General features: G+C 35.5%; 1 protein-coding gene across 9 annotated transcripts in view; it reads left to right on the top strand.

Annotated features, from left to right (window-relative positions):
* The window catches only part of LNX2 (ligand of numb-protein X 2), a 75,195-nt gene that overhangs the window by 13,460 nt on the left and 52,029 nt on the right, over positions 1-9,706 (top strand). The window contains exon 2 of one of the 9 annotated variants that reach the window (XM_047430147.1): positions 877-918. The exons of the other annotated variants lie outside the window; for them this stretch is intronic. The gene's annotated coding sequence lies outside the window, so the exon portion shown is untranslated. The remainder of the gene's footprint in view (positions 1-876; positions 919-9,706) is intronic. 9 annotated transcript variants of the gene reach the window in all.

Below are 9,706 nucleotides of genomic sequence, written 5' to 3'. Positions count from 1 at the left end.
TTTTTACAAACTTGAGTTTGTACCTGTCAGTATTTCAACAGTGCTTTATGTTTGTATGTTCTCAATTAAGAAAAACAAAACCCTACCAGTTATTAGGAGTCTGAAAAAGAGTAAATAATTCTATCACTCTTTGTGGAATTTGCAGTTTTATTTTGAAGTTTTTCACGCCTTGTTTAAAAACTGTCATCTGTGTTACCTTATAAAGAACTCTTGGTTTGTAACCGAGCTTATTAGGCAGTCTTTAAAATTGGTGTGTAAGACTTTAGTGCCCTGATTTCTTTGGTACATAAGAACTTGGAGTGTGACCCATGACTCATCAGTTGACGTTGTGGTGCGTTTTTAGAAACCAGGAATGCCATAGTAGATTTCCCTTAAGCAGCAGTAGAGGAAGTAAATACAAGAAAACACAAATTTGTCTATTTCTGTGCTGGTGTGATTACAGCTGAATGTTAAATTGATTCTTAGAAATGTATTATAACACTGGACATTTCAATAAGCTTGAATAGAATATGTGTAAACAATGTGTCTTGCAAAAAGATTCTTAAATGTAGCAATAATTTACATTTCTCCCATTTTTATGATAGGAAATAACTTTGCAGATAAATGTGATAATTAATATTTAGATTTGTGTTTTACTTATTTACTTTTGAAACAGAAATGAAGCAGTAAAGAAAAAGCATTGTCTTGGGCATGCAACTTCATTTTTAGTGCTCCATAAAATTGTTCTTATTTTTGATGTGAAGATCTTGTTTCTGTACTTTGCTTTTTAATCATGTATATAAGAACCAATCTTGACTGCTTTCTCATTTCTGCTTTATTTCTTTTTGTGCATGCTCCCTTGCTCCTGCCATAAATATACTTCCATACACATGAAAGTGTATGTGTTCAGATGGATACTTCATGAAAAACAAGCCTGAGGTGAGCTCTTCACCCCAGCTACCTGGTTCGCCTGGAGTTGACTGCTGTTAGTTTTTTTGTATATCCTTCCAGGCATATTTTGTGTGTATAAACTCATGTGTCTGTCTGTATATTAATACATAGATATTTTAAAACTCATACTGTTCTGTACCTTGATTTAAAATAGTGCAAAATTTGTTTTACTTTGCTAATTTTTTTGAAATTTAACTTGATCACCTTTCGTTTGCTGATCCCACCTTAATTAATGTAACCTTAAGGAAAACAGAGGTCTTCTTTGTTGGATATAATTGTGAACAAAATGATTATTTGAGCCTTTTTTTTTTTTGAGCTTTTCTCTCTTTTTTTTTTTTTCGCTATAAATCATGACCTTGTTACTTAATCCTTTTTCAAGGGAATGCTGAACACAATAAAAATTAATCTGGGCATCTTCATGATAACTTAAAATAGGATATTTACTAGGTGGCCTTGGTCTAGCAAATATAGCACAACCATGAAATAAAACATATTTGGTACACTAATTCTGCTAAAAAGCTTGATTATTAGGGAATTTTGTAGTACAAGTTGTGCTTAATTAAAAATTATTTGTTTAACACATCTGTTTGCTAATTGGAAATGTCTTTGTGCATTTTACAGTGTTCATCAAGTCTGCAGATTGTCCCTTTACAGTTTTAATATTTGTAGTGGACACTCTTAGAATAGCTTTCATTTTGAGGATTGTCAGGTGCATCCATTTTGTTTTTCTGAAAAGGGGTGTGGGAGAGGTGGTCTTTTCCTTGAGTTCAATTAGAATATGATGTTAGATCTAGAGGGGAAAAAAAGGTAAATTGTTTTCAGTAATTTATGAGTATTGCCATAGAAAGTTTTAATATTTTCAGTGTTACATTGCTTTTCTTTCTGTGGTGAAATATAAGTGGACAGAATTGTGCAACTGCCAATATTAATCATTGTAATAACTGCCATTTGCGTGACTGCTCTGTGGCTTATCTCTGAGCTAGGAACTTTAAGTTTCATTCAGTAGTTAATTGTCATAGTAACCCTGTAAGGTCGATATTTTTCATTTAAGGACTGGAGCTCAGAAAGTTTCAGAGGTAATATACAATTTGGACAAGATAATATGGTTACCTATGATTGGAAACCAGACTTCTTTGATCTAAAAGCTGTCTTACTCTTTACTGTACTAGGGTTATATGAAAAGTTAAAGTTTTGATAGAATCATAATTGTTTTCTTTCTTCTTGCGGAAAAGGACTTTAAAGATCATTTTAGTTTATGCCACATAGTTGGCCAATGAAGAGATAGGTTCTAAGAGTAAATGGCCACAGTCATATTCTTGGACTCATAATGAGATGATTTTTCAATAGAAACTCAGTGGAATTGTTTTGTTTTAATGCAGTTGAATGATTTTGTAGAAACCCTGGTTTCAGTTTTAAAGGGAAAAGCCTGTTGCTTGCATTATCTATCTCTGTCCACCTGTCTGTCAGCCTGTCTGCCATTCATCTCTCTATTAAACCTAGAGAAAGGAATAGTTACATTCTTTATATACTGCTTCAACTTCTTCGTTGTTTAATTTTGGTTAGTAGTCTTCAAGCTTACGTAGTGAAATATTTGGAAGGGTAAGGGGGTTAAAGAGTAATTGGTTCTTTGTTGCAGAGACTGGACCCGGAAAAAGCATATAATTACCCTGACTTTTGTAATGGGCTATCAGCAAGAACTCTAATTTTATGAAACCCTTCTTGTAATACTTATCTAGTGAGATATTTACCTACATGGTTCTGTGTATTCATTTTGTATGTCGTTTTCTTCAGAAAAGGTCTGTTTTTCCCCCATTAAAATTCAGTAGGTCAGCACCAAAAGGCAGGGCAAAAAAAAAAAAAAATTAAATAGAAATAACTTAATAATAATACAATTCAATAGGAAATGGCAATTTAGGAGCAAGCATAAGAAAAGGGGTTGCAACAAAAAAAGACAAACATCTTTGTTTCAACCCTTTGAGCCATAGATTTCTTTCTTTCTTTTTTAATTTGTGGAATAGTAGAATTTTTTACTTTTTATATTATAAAATAATTAAATGGTAGAACATTTGGTAATAGATATTCGTAGGAAATCTGGAAAAACAGATAAGAGTAAGAAAAAAAGTGTGTAATCTCTTCTACCATATATATATTATATCTCCATGGTTTGCTCTTGCTCCCATTTCTAGTTGTTGGGCACTCTTCTAATCTGCAGTGAAACTTATGGTGGATTAAATTTGTGATGCTCTTTGGAGTGTCAAAGGACTTCCACTAAATCCCTCCTTATTCTTATTCTTTACCCTCTGTTTCTTTGATCACCCATAGTGTGCTCAATAGCTGAGGAGCCATTTGCATGGAGTGCACTGCTGACTCTGCTCATTGTGTGGATCTGCTGGCCATGCCTGCTCTCCTCATCTGAGAGGGTACCATAGCATAGCATGGAAAGAGCGTGGTTCATTTTATACTGTGATTTTTGAGACGGAGTCTCGCTCTGTCGCCCAGGCTGGAGTGCAGTGGCGCAGTCTCGGCTCACTGCAAGCTCCACCTCCCGGGTTCACGCCATTCTCCTGCCTCAGCCTCCTGAGTACCTGGGAGCCCGCCACCACGCCCGGTTAGTTTTTTGTATTTTTAGTAGAGACAGGGTTTCACCGTGTTAGGCAGGATGGTCTTGATCTCCTGACCTTGTAATCCACTGGCCTCAGCCTCCCAACGTGCTGGGATTACAGGTGTGAGCCACCGTGCCCGGCCTTTTTTTTTTTTTTTTAAGGGAAGGAAAACATTTCAGAAAAACAGCAAAACAAATTGGTGCATTGCAGAGTGGTATGAATAAGATAGGCATGTGTTAAAATGGTAGTTGGACATCTCCTTTTTGGTGGAATACATAATAGTCATTTTTTCACCAATTTGAAGTTTGTCATTGTAAGCTACAATGACATTAAGGAGTCAGGAAGCATTTCTTAAAATTTTGTGCCCCATTGTTGACATTTGTGTAGAAGAAAAGTCAACAGTAACTATGTAGGGATTGGCTGCCCCTTGACAGGTAAGAGACTGCATAAAAAATGGGATCTGACCATGAAACTGTTTATCTCTTCAGGCACCGCTAGTGGCTTCCCTAAGTGGCTATTGTTACTATTTCTTTGTCATCAGTAGATGTCTGTTTACTGATGTGGACTGTCACCTGCTGAGTTCTATAATGGCATCGATTATGTAAGCCTACTGTATTGAAAAATATCATAATATATCCAAGAGTGATTTGCTTGTTTCTGGGACAGTTGTGCTGCTTTTACAAGCTAATTCAGAATGTGCAATTGTACCAAGGTGTGTTTTTGTTTTTATTTTAAGGAATGGCATCAGATGCCATTCTTGGTCCCCCCAGAACTTAATTAGAGGACGTAGTTCCAAGATGGAGTTATGTTAGAAAAGGTGACTAAATATTTTAGTATAGCAAATGAGAATTAGATTTTAAAGAGAGACATTGACAGTGTTCTTTTTTAACAAATATCTTTCAATTTATATTATTGATCTAAATTGTAGGTTAAGTGAGCCATAAATTGTTGGTATTATTAAGTAGTAAGAGATAAACAGAAAGAAAAGTTAGTATTTTGATACCAGTTTCCTAAGCAACAATGCTAATATTTGACAGCATAATTATTTCATGAGGCACTGAATGAAAGTGTAGTTTAAATCATGTGACTTCTTGAAAGTAGAAAAAAGTTTAAAGTTATATATAAAATTTATAATATTGTAATTTCTCTTAATGTTGCACTATATCTTATGTACCTCAATTATTTTTGTGCTGTATCTTACAAATAGATTTAACTCAAAAGTAATTAAAATATTAATTGATCACACATAACACAATGGCTAAAATTAAAAAGACAGCATCAAATGTTGACAAAGAATATGGAGCAACCAAAGCTTATACATTCTTGTTAGGGAAGTCAAATGGTACAACCACTTTGGGAAAGGTATGGTGGTTACTTATAAAACTAAGCATCTACCTTCCCTGGGACTCAACCCTTCTACTCTTAGGTATTTACCCAAGAGAAATGAAAACATAGGTTCATAGAAGTTCTTGTTGATAATCACCAAAAACTGGAAACAGCCCAGTTGTCCATCAATAAGGGACACAATACAGTGATATACTGCCAAGCAATGCAAAGAAACAGACTACTGATATATACCACAGCATAGGTAAATCTCAAAAACATGCTGAGTAAGAGAAGCTGTATGCAAAAGAGTACATACTCTATGTTCCCATTTAGGTGATACTCTAGAATAGTCAAAACTAATCTATGATGGAAAGAATATCAGACCAGCGGTTGCCTGTAGAGATAATTAGGGTTGAGATTGGCTGGGAAGGGCATAAAAAAACCCGGAGTAATGATTCTGTTCTCTATCTTAATAGGGATTTGCGTTCCATAGTTGTATGCATTTAGCAAAAGCTTAATTAATGTAGACTTAAGATTTGCACATTTTACTTGGTATGGTGGTACATGCCTGTAATCCCAGCTACTTGGGAGGCTGAGGTAGGATGATTGCTTGAGTGCTGGGCAACATGGCGAAATGCAGTCTTAAAAAAAAAAAGTTTTGCACATTTTTTTTGTATTTAAATTCCACCTCAAAAGCTAAATGTAAACAAATAGGAACTTCAGTTGATATGCATACTGTCATATTTAGGAGTGTACTGACTTCTGCATTTACTTTGAAGATCATGAAGTTGATAAAACAGGGAAGGATGAGGAGATATGTGACAAAGCACATATAGTTAAATCTTAATGGTAGACTTGTAAAGTACAAGTGTTTACCCTGAAAATGTTGAACTTTTTAGTATGTTTGAAAATGTTCATAGTAAATTGTTGGGAAGGTCAGGTGCAATGGTTCAACACGCCTGTAATCCTAGCTACTCTGGAAGCTGAAGTGGGAGGATCGCTTGAGCCCAGGAGTTCAAGACTACAGTGAGCTGTGATTATGGCACTACACTCCACCCTAGATGACAGAACTGAGACCCTGTCTCTAAAAATAAAAATTTTAAAAAATTTTTGGGAAAATATTAATAATGGAACTTTTCATTGTCTGTTCATGCATGATATATTATTTTAGAAACTTTATTTTGTTCCTCTTTGCTCCAGTGATATTTATGAGCTTATGGCTGAGAATTTTTGAGAACTTAACTATACTGTTAATTACACCAAATCATAGCCTTATTTGAGGAGTTAGAATTTAGAGAAGTATCATTCTAGTTTATTAATGCAGTTGTCTTTCTTTGGGGCTGTCATCAGTTTTCTCAGCAATGTCTGCAGATAGGGTGTTATAAATCATGTGGTTTCTGTGGAATTGCATCACGTATTGCTTATATAATGTCTTTCTTATTTTTTCTTTAATGATGGGGAAGAGGGAGGGAACAGTAAAAATATCTTAATTTCAGGTACTGCTGAACGTGGACTTTGGAATTAGATGGACCAGAGTTTGAATCCCATTCCAATCACTGATAGCCTAGTTGTTTTTAATCCCTTGGATCCCCGTTTTCCTCATCTATAAAATGGTAATGGTGATGGTAACTACTTCATAGGGTTTGTTGGAAAGATTAAATGAAATACTGCTTGTAAAGCAATCAGTATAATGTCCAGCCTGTAGTAATAGTGAATAAATTGAGCTATGAAGGAATAAATCACTGGAAATGGACTTTATAAGACTCTTCCGGGTTGTTTGAGTATCAAGTGAAGCAGTCAAGTAATATGGTTAAAGGAAGATAGGCCATACATCAGGCTTATCAGTGTTAAGCCACTTTAGTCTTTGTGATTCTGGGGAAGTTGACTTGATGCCTTGTTACAGAAGTGACCCAGGTCTGGCCCATTAAAGCATCACATGTCCCTGGCTACTGTGATTGGTTCAGCATAGGTACATGACCAAGCCAGCCATTAGAAATAGGAAGATGTAATTCTGGGGCATTTGTTGGCAATATTGTGGAAGCAGAACAAGGGGTCTGACACTGTGCCCCTAAAACTGCTGGGAACTAGCTGCCACATGAAGCCTGAGAATGAACCCAATCTAGAGGAAGCAGAGTTGGGAGAAAGCCCCGAGTCAGTAACACCTATCTTATTTTTCACTTAAGCCACTTTCAGTCAGGTTTTCCATCATTTGCAGCTGAAAGAATTCTACACACAGTTGCTCACCCAGTATCTTATATATTAATGTTTCTTACAGATTTCTTTACCTACTGAGTAATTCTACGGTTATGTTTCTGTACCATATATATTTTGCATGTATAGTGGCTAATCTACTGGTTAGATTTTATGTTCTTTGAGGAAACGACTTACTCCTGATATGCATGCTTTTCGTCCCCATTGGAATATCTGTACCCATGTTGTCCAGTACAAGACACTAGCCTTTTGTTGGCATTGGGTTTGAAATGTGGCTAGTCCCAACTGAAATGTGATGTAAGTATAAAATGTACACTGTTTTTGACATGTAAAATTTCAAAAACATAATATGACAAAAGAATGTGAAATTTCTCGATCATTTTGTGTCATTGGCTAGTAAATGTCTTTGTGCTAGACTGAGCTCTGTGAGCTCTCCAGAGTAACCCTATCCTCTGGTGCAGTGCCTGGCATGCAGCAGATAACCAACACATATTTGTTGAATGAGTCATGAATTTTCTGGTACATAACTGATGTGCCTGTTAGTTATGTGCCATGCTGGCTAACTGATAGGGGAAAACAAGATAAAGTGGTTTTAAAAAATGTATTATTCTTTACTCTTAGGTTTTCTTCATCTAGGCTGTTTCCATGGAAACAGCAACCAAAAGATTTTCAGGATTGGCGTAATGCTCTTTGGGTGATATTTGCTGCCATTGTTAACCAAGACCCACAAGTTTAAATATTTAGATGTGTGTTTCTTGAGTTTGAGATCCAAAGTGTAAAAGTTTGATTTGAGAGAAAGTTGCTAAATATTTGCCTCTTTGGGGTGCCTTTGAAATTCTTCCCTTCCATTAACATAATCTGCAGGAAAGTAAGAGTTGCCAAAGTACAGGTGCTATTCTATTCCTACAAGATACCTTTGTTATTGTTTTACTTTATATTGTCTATTCCTAACTTACTTCCTAATTATAGCTTTGTAAATATGGATTACTAATTGACCTTTACCTGGTTAGAACATAAGTATATTGTCTGTAACGTAAATGAATTTCTTTTACGGGAATCGTAAGTTCAGATTGCAATGAGGATGCTAGTAGATAAGGATAGAGGAAGTTATATCCCAAATTGTTCAAACACCTAGAGCCATTGGCAGGAAAAACCAAGTGGGATTCCAGATCTTGAGGCACTAATTTACAAAGTAGTGGTGAGTGGCCTTAGAAGACAATGTTGTTCCAATGAGTAAACAAAGGCTCCTTTTGGTATCTGTATGTTAAAGCCCTAGGAGAAAAGCTTCAAGCTTGGTTAAAACTTTTCTGTATAGACCCTTTTATATACAAAGGTTGCATTCAAAGCACTGTACAAATTTTGTGCCCCATGACAAATATAAATGAATGTTTTCCAAGAAGCTTTGTGAGAGATTGATAGGCAGCTCAAAATTTGAGATGCTATTCAGTTTTGTGTTCATTCAAATTGATTTTGATATCTGAACACAGAAGCATATAATTATTGAATTCTGTGGATACAAAAAGTAGTGTCAATTTTGAAGCCTCCATTTTATTACAGTAAAAATTAAAAGTGAAAATACAGAATTGTGGAAAATTTTTTGTGAGACTGAGAAATGAGGTCCATCCAGCATTTTGGCCCCCATATAGATGGCAATACATGTTTTCTTCTGGAAAATTAACAATAGAGGGTAACTTCCCCTTGGATCTGTCATTTACTTGTTTATGTAAACATATATGTGTATATGTACATGTTTGTGTATATATATACTGTATATGTGTAGGTATGTATATATTTTGGTTTGTGCAGCCTGCTTATATTTACTATACTGTAAGTACTAGGTACAGTATATACTTTAAAATTATAGCTCTGGAATCAGACTGCCTGATTTGAATCATGTTTCCATCCCTCACTAGCTTTAGGTCTTGGGCCTTACTCTCAGTTTCCTCATTTGAAAAATGGGGAGGAATGTGAGAATAGTATCCATCTCAGGGTTATCTTGAGGATTAAATCTGTTAATTCTCCATCCCAGTTGACACTATGCCTGATATAAAGTAAGTTCTAAATAAATGTTAGCTATTATCATTCCCTCTCCCAATCTATTCCTTTTACATGTCAAAATTGACCCCATGGGTTAATCCCTGTTCAATTTAGACTGTGTATGATTTTGTGACATCGGTCTCATCCCCTTTTGTTTAATAACAAAAATCCTAATATTCTGTCCTTGTCCTGTGTTCTTGTTTTTTCACTTCTAATTTTAGTGGCCTACATCTCAACCTTTTTCTAGCTGTACTGTTTTTCTTTAGGTAATTGGACTTTGATGTTTCAGCCAGATGTGGGCCATAGGTGTTGATCATGTCTTTTTTTTTTTTTTTTAAACAGTGCTGAGACCCTTACCCACTCCTAAGTGGTGTGGTAAGGATGTGCTAAGTGATGTGCTGCAGTGAGCTGGAAGAAGCTTTGTAGATTGTTTAGCACAGTGCCCCAGTTTTTCAAAGCAGAAGGCTAGGGCCTGAGGCTGCAACTCCTGCTGATAATGGACATTTGTTGTAAATTGAAAGACATTTTATTTCTCAACAGTACAGTTTATAGAGTAAAATAGTAAATGGATTATCAAATTTTGGCTTTTTGGAGATACC

Source organism: Homo sapiens, chromosome 13, assembly GCF_000001405.40.
Source record: "Homo sapiens chromosome 13, GRCh38.p14 Primary Assembly".
In the NCBI taxonomy this organism is placed as follows: domain Eukaryota; kingdom Metazoa; phylum Chordata; class Mammalia; order Primates; family Hominidae; genus Homo; species Homo sapiens.
The sequence above is the reverse complement of the archived record's forward strand: the minus strand, read 5'-3'. Positions and strand labels throughout refer to the sequence as shown.